An 18,701-nucleotide genomic window follows, 5' to 3' on the forward strand; every position below is an offset into this window, starting at 1 on the left:
ATTACAGGCGCCCACCACCACACCCAGCTAATTTTTGTATTTTTAGTAGAGATGGGTTTTCACCATGTTGGCCAGGCTGGTCTCGAACTCCTGACCTCAGGTGATCCACCCGCCTCGGCCTCCCAAAATGCTGGGACTACAGGCATGAGCCACCATGCCCAGTACCATCCTCCTAATTTTCTAGGCTCAAACCTCCCTAGTCATCTCTTGACTCTTCACTCTTCATCTCTGTATAATTTTTTAGTGGTTTCTCTAGGAATTACAGTATATATATTTAACTTTTCACAGTTTACTTAAAATTAGTACCTCAAGTGGAATGTAGAAATCTTACTACCATATAAGTCCCTTGACTCTCCATTCTTTTTTCTTTTTGAGATGGAGTTTCACTGTCTCCCCCAGCTGGAGCGTAGTGGTGTGATCTTGGCTCACTGCAACCTCCGAGAAGAAATGGAGTTTCACCGTGTTAGCCAGGCTTATCTCAGACTCCTGGCCTCAAATGATCTGCCTGCCTCAGCCTCCCAAAGTGCTAGGATTACAGGCATGAGCCACTGCACCAGGCCTTACTCTCCATTCTTTTGTTTTCTTTTTTGTTTGTTTGTTTTGTAAATTATTTTATTTCTTCCATGATGATTTAGAGGCACTGTCTTCAAACCAATACAAATATTTCATAAATAATATTTGGCTGTTTTCTAACCAGTTGAGTAACTTGTTGCACAATAAGCTACTTCACATCTTTCAGCAAGAAATACATTAAATTTGAGTAGTAAAGACATTACATAATGAATTAGGACACAATTAAAATTTGCTTTAAATATTTTTTTAGGGGAGAGGACACCACACTTCTACTCAATGAAGAGAAACATTTTTACAGTCCTGAGGTCTTTTATTTTTTTAACACCCATTATGCTGTGAATTTGTAGGGAAGAGGTTCCAGCAGTTCAGGCTCCTTCCCATTGGTTCTCACAAAGTGTGCTTCTCTGGGTAGAGGCTGCTGCTTCAGGTGAACCCAGATGCCTTTCTCTTTGGCTTCTTTCTTTTTCTGATCATTTTTCCTTCACATGTTTCAGGAAGCTATCTTGGCTTTTAGAGAGTGAGTGCTTAATGTGCTGAATACACACATTAATTCTCTTGGCAAGAATCTTGCCCTTGTTTGTTTACAACAATGCCAACAGCGTGCTGGGGGACACTGTAGACTCTTCCAGTTTAGCCGTGGTAACACTTGTGGGGCATTCCTTTTTGAACAGTACCCATTCCCCTGATGTCTACAATATCACCTTTCTTATAGATTCGCATATACATGGCCAAAGAAACAACTTCATATTTTCTTTTCTTTCTTTTTTTTTAGACGGAGTTTCGCTCTTGTTGCCCAGGCTGGAGTGCAATGGCGCAATCTCGGCTCACCACAATCTCCGCCTCCTGGGTTCAAGCGATTCTCCTGCCTCAGCCTCCCGAGTATCTGGGATTATAGGCATTCGCCACCATGCCCAGCTAATTTTGTATTTTTTTTTTTTTTTTTAGTAGAGACGGGGTTTCTCCATGTTGGTCAGGCTAGTCTCAAATTCCTGACTTCAGGTGATCCCCCTGCCTTAGCCTCCCAAAGTGCTGGGATTACAGGCATGAGCCACCACACCCGGCCACAACTCTATATTTTCTAAGAGACCTAGAGAACATATATTGGGTGCCTCTCTTCTTAACCTTTGTGTTTGTCCACTGGAAGATGGCAGTTCTGGCCGAAAGGCTCTCCATTATTTATGTTGTAGTTGTCTTACAGTAGCACATTGCCTGCTTTTGTATGGCTTATGAGCTAAGAATGGCGTGTGTGTATATATATATATTTTTTGAGACAGGGTCTTGTTCTTTCAAGACGGGAGTGCAGTGGCAAGATCACTGGCTCACATACAGTGGCACGATCATGGCTCACTGCAGCCTCAGCCTACCAGGCTCAAGTGATCCTCCCACGTCAGCCTCCCAAGTAAGTAGGACCACCAGAGCATGTCACCATGCCTGGGTAGTTAAAATTTTTTTTTGGTAGAGACAGTGTCTTATTACATTGCACAGGCTGATCTTGAATTCCTGGGTTCAAGCAATCCTCCCGCCTCACCTCCCAAAATGCTGGTATTACAGGCATGAGCAACCACACCCAGCCTCTATTTTTTAATAGTTGAAAAAATGCAAAATCCAACAATATTTGTGAGGCATGAAAATTACGTGGAATTCAAATTTCAGTGTCTATAAATAAAGGGTTTTTTGTTTGTTTGTTGTTTTTATTTTATTTTTTATTTTTATTTTTTTGAGACAGAGTCTTACTCTGTCACCCAGGCTAGGGTGCCGTGGTGCAATCTTGGCTCACTGCAACCTCCACCTCCTGGGTTCAAGTGATTCTCCTGCCTCAGCCTCCCAAGTAGCTGGAATCACACGCCTGGCTGATTTTTTTTGTATTTTTAGTAGAGATGTGGTTTCGCTATGTTGGCCAGGCTAGTCTGGAACTCCTGACCTCAGGTCTGCCTGCCTTGGCCTCCCAAAGTGCTGGGATTACAGACGTGAGCCACCATGCCTGGCTGTTGTTGTTTTTGTTTTGTTTTTTTCAGATAGAGTCTTGGTTTGTTTCCCAGGCTGGAGTGCAGTGGTGTGATCAGTGGTGTGATCATGGCTCACTGCAGGCTCAAGTGATCCTCCCAGTTCAGTCTCCCAAGTAGCTGGGACTACAGGCACACACCACCATGCCCAACTAATTTTTTTTGTTTTAATTTTTTTTTTGTAGAGATGGGGTCTCACTATGTTTTACAGGCTGGTTTCAAACTCCTAGGCTCTAGCAATCGTCCTGCCTCAGCCTCACAAAGTTCTGCGATTACAAGTGTGAGCCATCACACCTGGTCCATAAATAAAGTATTGTTTTGTTTTTTTTTTTCTGTAACCTATTAGAAGTGACACGTTTTGTTTTGTTTTGTTTTGTTTTTTGACACAGGGTCTCACTCTGTTGCCCAGGCTGGAGTGCAGTGGCGTGATCACAGCTCCCTGCAGCCTCCACCTCCCAGGCTCAAGTAATCCTCCCACCTCAACCTCCCAAGTAGCTGAGACTACAGGCATGTGCCACCCCATCTGGCTAATTTTGTATTTTTTGTGGTGACAAGGTATTGCCATATTGCTCAGGCTGGTCTCAAGCTCCTGGGCTCAAGTGATCCGCCCACTTCAGCCTGCCAAAGTGCTAGGACTATAGGCGTGAACCACTACACCTGGCCTATAATATTTTCTTACGGAAATGAGATCTCACTGTGTTGCTCAGGCTTGTCTTCAACTCCTGGGCTCAAGCAATCCTCCTGCCTCGGCCTCCCAAGATGCTGGGATTACAGGCGTAAGGCACTGGGCCTGGACCCATAAATAAAGTTTTATTGGAAGACAGTCATTCTCATTTAATGTATTTTGTTCACATTTGCCCTACAGTGGCAGAGTTGAGAAGCTGTAACAGAGACCATGTGGCCTGCAAGGCCCAAAATATTTGTTATCTGGTCTTTTGTTGAAAAAGTTTAGCCAGGCATGGTGGTGGGCGCCTGTAATCCCAGCTACTCGGGAGTCTGAGGCAGGAGAATCGCTTGAACCCGGGAGGTAGAGGTTGCAGTGAGCCGAGATAGTGCCACTGCGCTCCAGCCTGGGCAACAGAGTGAGACTCCATCTCAGGAAAAAAAAAATTATTAAAAAAAAAAATGTTTACCAATCTCATGCCTCGTATAGCCACCGTGCCTGGCCAAGGGTCTGAATGTTTAATTTTATTTAATTTAAATTTAAATAGCCATATGTTAACTAGTGGCTTATGGTATTGACAGCACAGGGGCTAGATCTTTAAAATATATATACACAGACATGCATATATATATGTGTGTGTGTGTGTCTGTGTGTATATACTCTGAGATGGAAAGAAGAGTAATTGTGTGGGAGTATGAAGAGGGTGGGTAAGTAGCTGACATCTAAACAGACCCATGGTGACTTCTGTGTACTCTGGCCCCTGTTACCCAGGAGAACATTCGGCCCTACTTCAAACTCTGTGGTTGAGCCCTTTGCTTTGGTCTGTGGGCTGCAGTTTTCTCATTATCAGAGTAATAGGCTATGGTTTTGCTTAGCAGGAAGTTAGTCTGCCTGTGGTAGCTCCGCTGAGAACCTGCCCCAGCTATTCTTCATCCTCATCTGATTGCAGATCCCAGCTGTGGGCTTTTATCCTTTTCACTAAAGGGAAGGGGCTCTCCATTAATCTTCTTTCATGGAAATGGTAACCTTGGTAGTTACTCTTGGTTTTTCCTGTGTGATTTTGATGTAGAAAAGTATGTGTGTGAACTGTGAAATATCTAATTTTAGATATTTGCACTAGAAAAGTAAGGTGGCATTCAGCTATTGGTTTTTCTTTCTCATATGCTATAATTAATGCCCCTTCACCTTCAGTCTTGCCCCAGGCAGTACTCACCTAGAGGAGAGATGGGGCACAGTAACAACCAAGCTTTCTCCACTGTTTAGCCAGTTGCATACTAGCTTGAATCCCGAAGAAATAGCTCTACCAATAGCACAGTCATAAAGAGCCTAGCAGCCATTGTCTGACACCACAAATCTTCATAGCAACAGACCACCACATGGCAACAGCAGCCACACAAAGGAAACATTAGGGAAATCAGTACCTACTTTCTCCCACCCCTCCCCCACCAAAAACAACAGCCAACACATTCCCACCTAGCAGCTTACTCCCAGAGGATACTTTAGGGCAGTGACGTGTTTATATACCTTTGTGGATTGTGTTATATGTCCACTGTCATACATTTAAATCCTGAAGACCTTGGGAAAAATTTCAGTCACCGGCTTTTTTGAGTTTCATTTTGCAAATGGCAAAATAGACTAATCTCCAGGGGAGAAAGAGAGTCTCCCTTTGTGCATGCTCACACACCTCCTCCCTCCCCCAAGCAAAGCACAGTCAGGCAGTATATATAGGTGACTAGGCTGTGAGCTTGCCAGATAGGTAAGGTTGTTTGCAAATGAGATTCTTTTTATATTTCAGTAACAAAACCCAGACCTATTTTGTTATCAAAATCATCCTGATACTTAGGAATTTAGTTGAGTGATACCTAGGCAATAAATATCTTACTGGTATTGCCTGGGATTAATCATTAGCCCTAACTAACTTAGCTTTGAAGTGTGATTCAAAGGGGAAAAAGTCCTATTTGAGAGCCTTGGTGTTTTCTTGCTCTGTTAATAAGGTCGTTTGACTATCTGGGCCTTAATTTCCTTATTTGTAAAATGAGGAGGTTGGACTACATGATCTCTATGATCCTTCTAGCTCTGATATTTACAACTCTGTAATCATTTATGTGGAATAGAAGAGGGACTTGTCTTTGTTAGTCATTGGTTGTGATGAAATCTGCTGGAAGATGTTGAGCCCTCTGGTCTTAGTGCTTACACTGCTAAAAACAGGTCCTGGCCCTGCCCTATTTGATAAAGCTGCTGTAACAATGATAGGCAGAAGCTATTAACAAAGTTGGCAACTAGCCTTTTCTCCCACAGCAGTAGTTTCAGACTAGTTCAAGCAGAGCTTTGCTCCCAAGCTATTGCTACTGAGGCTGCTGCTGCCTCTTAATGATACCGGTGAGAACTAACTCCATTTCTCTCTTTAACTCGCTCTCTCTCTCTCTGACTACTCTGAAACAAGGGGCTGTTCTCCACCTCTTCTGATACCTCATTATTCCATCTCCCTCAGGCTTTACAGAACAAAGAAATCACAGGGCATCAACTTTATAATTTAGGCAGCTGGAGATAATTTCACCAGGATAGGGTGGGTAGGTAGCTGATTCCTCCTGGCATTAGGCAGCATTGCTAAGTGGCCTTGTGTTTTGTCTGCCAGGCTTAAGCTTTGTTAGGCCCATTCAGGCTTCTCTGTATTTCAATTAAATTATAGTGGTAAACCAAGCCCATGTACTTTCAAAGGGGTAGGGGTTAGGAAAAACAAGAAAAGTATGTCATTTATAGGCCCTGCTACTCACTAATTGCTCAAGAAATTTTTGTTTAATCTACTATCCCTGTGCTTACTCCTGCCAGATCCTTTATTTCCTTTAGTTGCTGCCTTCACGGCCTTCTCCATAGCAACAAGCTATATGACAAAAAGGCTATGGTGAGAAATTGAGCAGTCACCCCTCCCCGAAGTTGTACTCTGTTTTCTCCTTAGGGTATCTAAAAGCAGCCCAAAAGACTGCTGTCAAATAATTTTCTACCCCCATTGAACTCATAATCAAATGAAACTTTTAACCCTGAACTAATTTGGTGAACAACCTGCATTCTCCTTATTTGACTCTGATTATCCCTACCTTTTGAAAATTTTCTAGATCATTCAATATACTTGAAATATTGTGCATATTCTCATTTATGAAGCTCCCTTTTGCTTTTTAGCTTTCAGCTTACTCCTTAGAATTATACAGAAAATCTCCTGGAATGAAGTATGGAGAAAGAGTAGATGAAGAAAGCGAAACCCTCCCCTTTTCTGCCATGTGCTGTTGCCTTAGATACTAGACTAGTCTTCTGCCCTAGAGATTGGGCAAGCTGCCTGAAGTATAGAACTGGCCTGCATCTTGGCTGATCCTGGCATAGCCTAATCTGTTATCCTTTGTTATCTTCCCAGCCACTTGTCTACAGGAGTCACAAACCCAAAGGTTTTGTTTTTGTTTTATATTAATAAGTCTTACTGAAAATAATATAAACATGTACGCAAATTCTACGTGTGCAAGTCTGCATTTTCGAAGTGAACACACCATGTGATACCAGCACCTAGATGAGGAAACACAGTATTGCCAGAACCCCAAAATCTCTTTCATGCCTCCCTTCTAATAGCTAGCCCTTCTCCCCACCCCAGGTAACCAATCTCATTGTTAATACCATAGATTAGTGTTACCCATTTTGAACTTCATGTAAATAGAATCATTACAGTATGAGCTTTTTTATGTTGAGCTGTTCAACATTGTGCCAGTGAGATTCATCCATATTGTTACATGTTGTTAAACTTTGTTTATTTTCATTATAGTATTCCATTATGTGAGTATACTGCTACTTATTCAGTTGTTGATGGCATTTGGGTTATTTGCAGTTTGAGGCTGTTATAAAAAGTGCTGCTGTGAAAATTCTTGTACATGTCTATTTGGGACTATATATACATATTCCTATCTATCTATACTTAGAAATGGAATTATTGAATCATAAGGTATGTGTATGATCAACTTGAATAGACATCACAAGTTTCCCAAAATGTGTAAACCAATTTACATTCCTACTTCCAATGTATTAGAATCCTGATTGCTCTGTGTTCTAGCCAACACTTGACCTTATTTGTCTTTTTCATTTTAGCCATTCTGGTGGTGTGTAGTGGTATCTCATTGTGGTATTAATTTGCATTTCCCTGGTGAGTAATGAAATTGAGCATCTTTTCATGTGTTCATTGGCCATTTGGAAATCTCTTTTACGAAGTGTCTGTTCAAGTCTTTTGCCCATTTTTGGATTGGGTTGTATGTCTTTTTCTTATTGATTTGTATGAATTCTTTGCATATTCTGGTTATTAGTCCTTTGTGAGATTTATGTAATATAAATATCTTCTGTGTCTTAACTTTTCTGTTAATGGTGTCTTTGTCTTCATTTTTATGTAGTCTATTTTATCTTTTTTAAATTTTTTGTTTTTCTTTTATTGTTAGTGCTTTCTGTGCCCTGTTTAACAAAGTTTTGCCCATCCCAAGATAATATATTCTTCTATGTTTTTTCTGAGAACCTTGTTTTATATATATATATATATATATAAAATATATATAAAAATACATATATATATATATGTATTTACATCCACAATCTATCTGGAATTTATTTTTGTTTAGGATGTAAGTTGGAAGTCAAGATTCTTATTTTTTTATATGGATATCTAATTGGCCCAGCACCTTATCAAAAAGACCATCCTTTCCCCCATTGCACAGCAGTGTCACATTTGTCGTAAACCAGTTAACCTGTGTGGGTTTATTTATGGGTTCTCTTCTGTTCCATTTATACATTTACGTATTCTTGTGTCAATACTACATTGTCTTGATAACTACAGCTTTGTAAATCTTGTTATCTAGTAGTATAAGTCTTCCAGTTTTGTTGTACTTCTTCAAGATTGCCTTGGCTTTACTTGGCCTTTTGCATTTCCATGTAAATTTTAGGATCATCTTTGTGAATTTTTACAGAAAAAAAAGTGCTGAAATTTTGATTAGGATCTACAGATCAATTTGGAGAAGACCCAAAGTTTTATCCTTTTACTTAAGCTAGTAAACTCAGCAGTTACTGAGGGAGAATTGGGGGGAGGGGGGATCAGAGCAAGTCACTGATATCATTTAGGGATCTTGTTTAAAATATATGTTAGCTGGCCAGGCACCATGGCTCACACCTGTAATCCCAGCACTTTGGGAGGCTGAAGTGGACAGATTTCTTGAGCCCGGGAATTCAAGACCAGCCCGGACAACATGGCGAAACTCCATCTCTACAAAAAGTAGAAAATTAGCCAGGCTTGGTTGCAAGCGCCTGTGGTCTCAGCTACTTGGAAGGCTGAGGTGGGAGGATCACCTGAGTCCAGGAAGGCTGAGGCTGCAGTGAGCTGTGATTGCACCACTGCATTCCAGCCTAGGTGACAGAGTGAGGCCCTGTCTCAAATAAATAAAATAAAATTAAATTAAAAAGTTAGCTATCTCCTGCTCCTATTCTCAATCAGCATGTTCAAGATGGAGCTTGGAACCAGGTGCAGTGGCTCACACCTGTAATCTCAGCACTTTAGGAGGCCAAGGCAGAAGGATCATTTGAGCCCAGGAGTTTGAAACCAGCCTGGGCAACATAGTGAGACCCGTCTTTATTTAAAAAATAAAATAAATAAGATGGAGCTTGGACTTGCCTATTGTAAAAAATGCTCCCCAAGAAATTATGGTTTGCTGCCATCACCACTGTTCTCCACCAACCCTGTTTGAGAACCACTGACTTAGACTGCAGTCTAGCAGCAATTCAGTGAGGCTAGTTAAGGTAAAATCTGACTGATTTAATCAACACCACATCTGCCTTTGGGGCTGTATTAATTTCCTGGGCTGCTGTAACAATGTACCAAAAACTGAGTGGCTTAAAACAACAGAAAGTTATTATTTCACAGTTCCTGAGGCCAGGCATCTGAGATCAAGGTGTTGGCAGGACCATCTGTCTCCTGCAGCTCTAGGGAAGAATTCTTCTTTTCTTCTGCTCTTTGCTGGCAATCCATAGTGTTCCTTGGCTTGTAGCTGCATCATCCCAGTCACATGGCTGTCTTCCCTCTTTGCATATCTGTGTCCAAATTGCTCCATTTTATAAGGACACCAGTCACTGGATTAGGGCAGACCCTAATGACCTTATCTTGATAACTTGATTGCCTCTGTAAAGACCCTATTTCCAAATAAGGTCATATGCTGAGGTACTAGGGGTTAGAACTTCAATATACCTTTTTTTGGCAGGGGAAGGGTGGGACAGGGACACAGTTCAATTCATAAAAGGGGCAAATGAAAATTTCAGAATAATTATTGTCACAAGTTGGAGAGAGAAGATTTTCTAGAAATGTGCATAATAATGAGAGACATTGCTTCCCAAAGTCAGTCTGAGCAGATCATCCACCCTCTGACCCCAACTGTTACTGGGTTGAGTTCCTCTTTTTTTGCTTTGTTTTGTTTTGTTTTGTTTTTTTGAGTCTCTTTCTGTCGCCCAGGCTGGATTGCAGTGGCGCAATCTCAGCTCACTGCAACCTCCGCCTCCTGGGTTCAAGCGATTCTCTTGTCTCAGCCTCCTGAGTAGCTGGGACTACAGGTGCCTGCCACCACACCCAGCTAATTGTTGTATTTTTTTTAGTAGAGACAGTGTTTCACCATGTTGGCCAGGATGGTGTTGATCTCCTGACCTCATGAGCCACCGTGCCTGGCCTCCTCTCTCTTTTTTTAAATCTACTTATTTTATTTTACTTTTTGTAGAGCTGAAATCTCACTTTGTTGCCCTGGCTGGTCTTGAACTCCTGGGCTCAAGCAGCCTCCCATCTTGGCCTCCCAACATGCTGGGATTATAGGCATGAGCCGCTGCGTCAAGACTTGAGTTCCTTTCTCTGCATTACTATTTACCCTTCCTTGGGTAAATACACTTGTGCTTTCTTTTTTTTTTTTACTGAGAGTGAAAGGGTGGTTCAGCTCTACTCTGTTAACAAACTCTGAAACAGTCAAGTAGAGGTTACCAGAAAGAAAAATAGGTTTCAGCAGTTGGCAGCATACTAGCCTCTGGCTGAAGAAGGCCAAAAGGAAAAGTGCCTCGCATAAGCCAAGCCTAGTCATATTCTTATCCTAGTTCCTTCTGCTAGGTCATAAAGCAGTAAAGCTGTGGACAGTGGGATTCCTTCTCAACCCCAGGCAAGTATTTTTTCAAAGCTGTTCCATTGAGATGATACCATCTTTCTTATTCCTAGTGGTTTTCAGAGGACTCCAGCTGTATAGCCAAAGGCATGATGACCTTTGCTGAGCCACCTTCTCCAGCCATGGCTGCAGGATATGGTTACCTCAGCAAGAGGAAAGGAAGGATATACGATTTAAGGGTGTGGTGAAACAGCCTTTGTGGCACTTATGCAAAGTTTCCCTAGTGTAAGAATGTATAGATGGGAGGAGGAACTGTGTCAGATTTTTTGCATTTCTCCCATCTTTCCCATTTCTCCCATTTGCACACCCCATCCCCACAGTGTGGGTGTGAAGTGGTTTACATTTACTGGTTATTCCACTTTGGCCTTCTCTATCCTGTACTAGTCCTTTTCCTGCCTATAGTTTTAGCAGTACCAGATCTGAATGCTCTTCAAATTGACACTTGCTTAATAATGGTTTCAGCTGGCTCTCTAATAATACTTTTGCCTGAAATTCTGTTGAGAGAAAATACTATGGTCATGTGAAAATGGTTCCAGGATGATGGGTGTTAGTTACACTTGTGCTTTCTTTTTTTTTTTTTTTGAGATGGAGTTTCGCTCTTGCTGCCCAGGCTGGAGTGCAATGGCATGATCTCGGCTCACCACAACCTCTGCCTCCCAGGTTCAAGCAATTCTCCTGCTTCAGTCTCCCGAGTAGCTGGGATTACAGGCATGCACCACCACGCCCGGCTAATTTTGTATTTTTAGTAGAGATGGGGTTTCTCCATGTTGAGGCTGGTCTTGAACTCCTGACCTCAGGTGATCCGCCCACCTCGGCCTCCCAAAGTGCTGGGATTACAGGAGTGAGCCACCGCGCCTGGCCTACACTTGTGCTTTCTTTGGCTCCTCGAGTCCCAGAAGATCTCAGAATTAAGGGTTTAAGATTTTTGTTTTCTCTCCAACCCAGACTTGAAGGTGGACAAATTTGAAGACATCATTTTCTTTAGCAGTAGTTTCCACATTTTGCTGTACATTAGAGTTTGGGAGTGGGAGTTTTTAAAATCCCAGTCCCCAGATCTCACCCAATTAAATTGGATCAGAATAACTGTGGGTGGGAGCCAGGTGTCAGTATTTTTTTAAGGGTCTCCAGAGGCTTTGAACATTTTTACAGACTATCCCAAATTGCTTATTGGATCATCTGAGATATTTATACTTAGAATATTAATAAAGAACTCCTGGATAGTGTATAGATTCTCTTTGGAAGTATCCTCTCTAAAGGAACAGTAACCACATTTCTGCCTTTAGGTTTCTGGTTTTGGAAGACTCGTACGTAATTTGACCCTTCCTTACAGTCAGATCCATGAATTGAGGATGAATGGTTTGCCAGGATAAGTAGGATAAAAACCTAGAGATGTTGCTGTTAATCTGATTGGAGGTTCTGCCTACATGAAATTTGGTAGGGCATGAGTATTTATAGCATGGCAAAAGCATTCTCTCTAATAATTTGCATTGCAGCAACAAATTTGGAGCTAAAATACAGGTTTTTGGTTTGTTTTTGTTTTTATTTTTTTGAAACAGAGTCTCGTTCTGTCACCCAGGTTGGAGTGCAGTGGTGCAATCATGGCTCACTGCGGCCTCCAACTCCTGGGCTCAAGCAACCCTCTCACCTCAACTTCTCAAGTAGCTGGAACCACAGGCGTGTACCACCATGTCTGGCTAACTTTTTTTTTCTTTTGTAGAGACTAGGTCTCGCTGTGTTGACCAGACTGGTTTCAAGCTCCTGTCCTCAAGTGATCCTCCTGCCTTGGTCTCCCAAAGTGCTGAGATTACAGGTGTGAGCCACCACGCCCAGCCAGTATGACAGTTTAAAAAAAAAAGTTTGACCAGACACAGTGACTCACACTTGTCATCCTAGCAATTTGGGAGGCCAAGGTGGGAGGATTACTTGAGCCCAGGAGTTCGAGACCAGCCTCTGCAACACTATGAGACCTCTTCTCTACCAAAAATCAAAAAAATTAGCCAGGCAAGTGGCACACTCCCGTAGTCCCAGCTACTTAGGAGGCTGAAGCAGGAGGATCTCTCGAATCTGGGAGATCGAGGCTGCAGTGAGCCCTGACTGTGCCACTGCACTCTAGCCTGGGTGACAGAGCAAGACCCTGTCTCAAAAAATAATTATTATTATAATGGTTTTCATTTTCTGTAAATCTAAAATTTTTTTAAATGGTTTTCAGATAACAACTATGCACCAATTTAAGAAGAAAATCTTAGCTAGTACGTAACCACACATGGTCTAATTCTTTCTAGTTTCTTCATTTCTGGAGGCAACTCACTCTTGGAAGTTTCTGAATATATTTACCCTTTCTCTACATCTCTGGTTTGAACTTTCATCCTGGAGGAAATAGCGCTCATAAATGCACATACTCTCTAATCACATGTCAAAGTTAATTATTAGACAGTAACATACCAGAGATCAGCTGTGGGAAGGAAACAATTTCTACATTCTCCCATCTGAGGCTTCTGCAGAGGTAGTAGCATGTAGAGTTCCATACCAGCCTTCCTCACAGGCATCCTCTTGCAACTCTCCCTCAGCTCTCAGTCCTACCAATTTCCTGCAACATTCCTTGCTGCAGGCGTGAGCCACCACACCTGGCCAGAAACTATAATTTATTTACTTTCATACGATCTGTTTCTCCACCTCAACCTCTAAAGAGAACTAGAAAACTGGAGTGGGAAAACTTTAGAAAACTACTAGTACTGACTGGGAGTTGAGGTATTGGTTGTAGCTGCATCTTCCTCCTTGCCCTTACTCCGAACATCAGTAAACAAATATGTCTGTCATTCTCCTTTAGAAATAAAAATAGGAACTACATAGACACCATTAACAGGTTTTTGATCATTTAGTGGTGGTTAAAAGGACCTTTGGCCATTATAAGAGGTCTAGAGAGAGTAAAGAGGACTTTACTAGGAAAGCAAAGAGAAGACCATAACTGAAGGCATATTCAACTTCTAGAGAATAGGACCAAATTGAACAACAATTTGGCACCAGTGTAAAGTGTGTCAGCAACAATTATTAATATTTATTGTTAACTATTCATACTAGCACTGGACATTAGGCTTAACACTTACTATTTTTCTGACCAAGCTAAGGAAATACAACTTTCAAGGGAACAAGGTAACAAAGTAGGCCAGGTGTGGTGGCTCATGCCTGTAATCCCTGCACTTTGGGAGGCTGAGGCAAGAGGATCACTTGAACCCAGGAGTTTTAGACCAACCTGGGCAACATAGCAAGACCCCTTCTCTATCAAAAAAAAAATTTTTTTTTAATTAGCTGGACATGGTAGTATGTACCTGTAATCCCAGCTACTCAGGAAACTGAGGTGGGAGGATCACTTGAGCCCAGGAGGTCATGGCTACAGTGAGCCATGATCTTGCCGGTATACTCTAACCTGGGCAACAGAGCAAGACCCTGTCTCAAAATATATGTGGGAACAAGCTTTTTATTTGTATTATTTATTTATTTTAAACAACAACATCTTGTCCAAGACAAATTTTTTTTAAAAAGAGGAAAAGAATAAAGAAAAAGAAGGCCAAGGCCAATGGCTCACACCTATAATCCCAGTACTTTGGGAAGACTGCTTTAAGCCAAATTCAAGACCAGCCTGGTCAACATATAGCAAGACCTCATCTCTACAAAAAAAAATTTAAAAATTAGCTGGGCATGATGGTGTGTGCCTCTAGTCCTTGCTACTCAGGAAGCTGAGGAGGGAGGATCACTTGAGCCAAGGAGTGTGAGGTTACAGTGAGCTATGATCACATCACTGCACTCCAGTCTAGGCGACAAGAGTGAGACCCTGTGTCAATAAAAAACAAAAAGAAAAATAATAAAAAGAATCAGAGGTCTTTAAAATATAACAGATGATGGATCCAGTGTTACATACCTAAGTATACCTTTACCAGAGCTTCTGCCTTGATATGTGAGTCTGAGGGTTCAACTGTAAATTGCAGAAAACTTATAAAATGGTTTGGTGCCCAAGGACTGTTGCTAAGTCTTGCATGTAAGTCCAAAGTGGATACTATCCAAGTGACCTGCAATGCCATCCATAGATGGTGGGCAAAATTGATGGATGAGCTCTTGATCCAATGGGTAGCTTTGTTTTTATTATACATGTCTTTGGACCAGGCAATCATCTACTAAGTCACATTATAATAAGAAGAGGAGTATGAATGCTTAAAACAGACTTTGTTAGCTACCCTTACTGTGCTTTGAATTCAAAGCATAATTTCAGAGATAATGAGCTATATCTTCTCCTAAATTTTCTCTCTCTTTCTTTTCTTTTCTTCTTTCTTTCTTTTTCTTTCTTTCTTTCTTTCTTTCTTTCTTCCTTCCTTCCTTCCTTCCTTTCTTCCTTCCTTTCTTTCTTCCTTTCTTCCTTCCTTCCTTCCTTCCTTTCTTTCCCTCCCTCCCTCCCTCCCTCCCTTCCTTCCTTCCTTCCTTCCTTCCTCAGGCTGGAGTACAGTGGTGCAGTCTTGGCTCACAGCCACCTCCATCTCCTGAGCTCAAGATATCCTCCTACCTCAACCCTCTAGGTAGCTGAGACTACAGGCGTGTGCCACCATGCTCGGCTAATTTTTCTATTTTTTGTAGAGATGGGGTCTCACCATGTTACTTAGGCTGGTGTTGAACTCCTGGGCTCAAGTGATCTGCCTACCACAGCCTCCCAAAATGCTGGGATTACAGGCATGAGCCATTGCACTCGGCGTCCTACATTTTCTGCCCCACAACTAGCAACTGTTTTTTCCTCTGATTTTTTTTTTTAATTTTTGAAATTATTTTATTATTTCAAAAGTAATGCCTGATTTTTTAGCTATGACACCAAAAGCACAAGCCAGCAAAAGAAAAATTAGATAAATTGGATTTCATCAAAACTAATAACTTTTGTTTATCAAAGGATACTACCAAGAGAATAAAGATAGAATGAGAGAAAATATTTGCAAATCGTGTATCTGATAAGTGATTAATATCTAGAATAAAGAACTCCTACAGATCAACAATGAAAAACCCAAACAACCTAATTCAAAAATGCGCGTAAGACTTGAATAGACATTTTGCCAAAGAAGATATCTAAATGACCAATAATCACATGAAAAGATGCTCAGAATCATTAATTATAAGAGAAATGAACATAAAAACCATGATGAATTACCACTTCATACCTACTAGGATGGTTGTTATCAAAAATGTGGAAAATAAAAAGTGTTCAAGAGGATGTGGAGAAATTGGAACCCTTGAGAACTGTTGGTTGGAACATAAAATGAGTACAAGCCATTGTGGAAAACAGTTTGGTGGATCCTCAAAAAGCTAAACAGAATTAACATATGATCCAGCAATTCTACTCCTAGGTATATACTTAAAAGAATGGAAAACAGATGTTCACACAAAAACTTGTATGTGAATATATGACAGTATTATTCACAATATTCAGAAGGTAGAAATAACCCAAGTGTCCATCAACAGATGAATGGATAAACAATGTGGTATAGCCATACAATGGAATATTATTCAGCAAACAAAAAGAAATGAAAGCTGGTACAGTGACTCATGCCTCTAATCCCAGCACTTTGGGAGGCTGAGATGGGAGGATCACTTGAGCCCAGGAATTCAAGACCAGCCTGGGCAACATAGCAAGACTGCATCTCTAGAAAAAAATACAAAATGGCGGCCAGGCATGGTGGCTTATGTCTGTAATCCTAGCACTTTGGGAGGCCGAGGTGGGTGGATCAGCAGAGGTCAGGAGTTCGAGACCAGCCTAGCCAACATGGCAAAACCCCATCTCTACTAAAAATACAAAAAAAATTAGCCAAGTTTGGTGGCACACACCTGTAACCCTAGCTACACGGGAGGCTGAGGAAGGAGAATCGCTTGAACCTGGGAGGTAGAGGTTGCAGTGAGCCAAGATCGTGCCACTGCACTCCAGCCTGCACAATGGAAACAAGACTCCATCTCAAAAAAAAAAAAAAAAAAAAAAAACTGGGCACGGTGGCTCACGCCTGTAATCCTAGCACTTTGGGAGGCCAAGACGGGCGGATCACTTGAGGTCAGGAGTTCGAGACCAGCCTGGCCAACATGGTGAAACCCCATCTCTACTAAAAATACAAAAAATTAGCTGGGCATGGTGGCGCATGCCTGTAGTACCAGCTACTCGGGAGGCTGAGGCAGGAGAATCGCTTGAACCTGGGAGGCAGAGGTTGCAGTGAGCCGAGATCATGCCATGGCACTTCAGCCTGGATGACAGAGGGAGACTCTGTCTCAAAAAAAAAAAAAAAAAAAAAAATCAACCTGGTATGGTAACACGTGCAGTGATAAACTCATTATCACTGTATAGGATGTTGTCAGTTAGGCTTACTTAGTACTCCCAGCTACTCAGGAGGCTGAGGCAGGTGGATTGCTTGAGCTGTGATCACACCACTGCCATCCAGCCTGGGGGACAGAGTGAGACCCTGTCTCCAAAAAAAAAAAAATGAAGTTCTGATTCTACAATGTGGATGAACCTTGAAAATACATGTTAAGTGAAATAAGCCAGTCACGAAAGGACAAATATTGTATTTTTTCCACTTAGGTATCTAGAATGGATACATTTATATAGACAGAAAGAATATTAAGGGCCGTGGGGAGCATAGGGAATGGAGAATTATTGCTTAATGGCTACAAAGTTTCTATTTCAGGTGATGAAAAAGTTTTAGATATTGTGATGGTTCAAAAGGAAAAAGTAACAATTTTTATTGTTGAACATTTAGGAGACAAAGTCAAAATTCACCAAGAGGAAAAGAATAAATTACCCAGAGATAACCAATGTTTGAATTTTTATATTATATATTTTTGTTGCTTCTTTTATTTTATATTTTTAACAAATTGAGACCCTTCTCTATATATTTCGTAATCTTCTTTGTTTAGAGAAATATATTCCTGTAACATATTTCCATAACATTAAATGACCTTCTATAACATTTTAAATAACTACAGAGTATTCCATGTTAAGGATGTATCATAATGGACTTAGTCATTATATCTTTTATATGGTTTAAAAAAAGATACTTCTTAAATTTTCTAGCTCTTCAAGAGCTGAGCTTCATTTTTTACATCATCAATAAAGTACCTCACATACCAAGGAGACACATTATGTGTTTCATAATAATAACCTTGCAGCTTTGGACTTTTCGGTTTTTGTCCAAACTCCCTTTTCTCTTTTTATCCTCTTGCTGCATTTTGCCTACTTGGACATTTTCTTTTTGCTTCTTCCACCTGTTCTGTGTGTCTTTCACTTTGCCACCAGTATGTAGCTTTATTGCTGCATCTGTTTCTTTTCTGGTAGAAATAGGTCAAACGTAAAATCAATAACCTGCTTCTCAGCCCAAAATAAACCTACAGGTGTTGATGTCTTTTGCTTTAGTCCACAGTTTTATTCTCAAGTGCAGTGCGTAAACCATTTAGTGTTTTACACCGAAAATACGAGCTCCTGAGAACCAAGAAAGTGTAATCTTATCTTGTGAGGCAGCGTAGTTAAAAATACGTATAAGGCCATGCAGTATGGTTTACACCTGTAATCTCAATACTTTGGGAGGCCAGACAGGAGGATCGCTTGAGCCCATAAGTTTGAGACCAGACTGGGCAACATAGCAAAACCTTGTCTCTACTGAAAACTTAAAAATAAAAATTAGCCAGGCATGGTGTCATACACCTGTAGTCCCAGCTATTTGGGAGGCTGAGGTGGGAGGACTTCTTGAGGCCAGAAGTTTGAGGTTGCAGTGAGTTATGATCATGCCACCGCACTCCAGCCTGGGCGACAGAGTGAGACTTAACCTCAAACAAAACAAACCATACAGGCTTTAGTTGAGAGTCATATTGATTGGGATTCAGATCCTAGCTTTTGCATCTTATTTAGCTATATAACATTGGAACAGATTGCTCTGAGTTTCCAGTTCCTCGTCTGTAAAATGGGAATGATTATACATTGGAGGTTGGTGAGAGAATTAAATATGAGATAATATATAGAAGATGTTAAAGCACAATAAGTTGTATGCATTATTGGAAATACTGTCTGACCACCACCACATACCAAAAAAAAAAAAAAAAAAAAAAATTAGGGAAAGCAACCAAATATGTAACCCGTTGTATCTGGGACTAAGCATCCTTTCTGTATCATTAGGACTTGGGAAACTTCTTCCACAATTTTAGTGGGATTATATTGGAGTCTGAATCTTACTTTAGTGGCCAGATTCA

General features: G+C 41.1%; 1 protein-coding gene, 1 long non-coding RNA gene and 1 pseudogene across 9 annotated transcripts in view; 1 reads left to right on the top strand and 2 right to left on the bottom strand.

Annotated features, from left to right (window-relative positions):
• LOC101930091 (uncharacterized) overlaps positions 1–4,505 on the bottom strand; it is a 92,612-nt gene extending 88,107 nt beyond the window's left edge. For 2 of the 4 annotated variants that reach the window (XR_007064677.1, XR_001751585.2), the window contains exon 1: positions 4,454–4,505. This is a non-coding gene — a long non-coding RNA (uncharacterized LOC101930091). Of the gene's footprint in view, positions 1–306; positions 436–4,453 lie in introns of those variants that run through there. The other 2 variants (XR_007064678.1, XR_001751587.2) reach the window with 2 other exon arrangements.
• Positions 1–18,701, top strand: part of ZNF609 (zinc finger protein 609) — a 226,491-nt gene that overhangs the window by 170,630 nt on the left and 37,160 nt on the right. The window lies entirely within an intron of this gene.
• Positions 870–1,326, bottom strand: RPL21P15 (ribosomal protein L21 pseudogene 15; annotated as a pseudogene).

Source organism: Homo sapiens, chromosome 15 (genome assembly GCF_000001405.40).
Source record: "Homo sapiens chromosome 15, GRCh38.p14 Primary Assembly".
Lineage (NCBI taxonomy): Eukaryota > Metazoa > Chordata > Mammalia > Primates > Hominidae > Homo > Homo sapiens.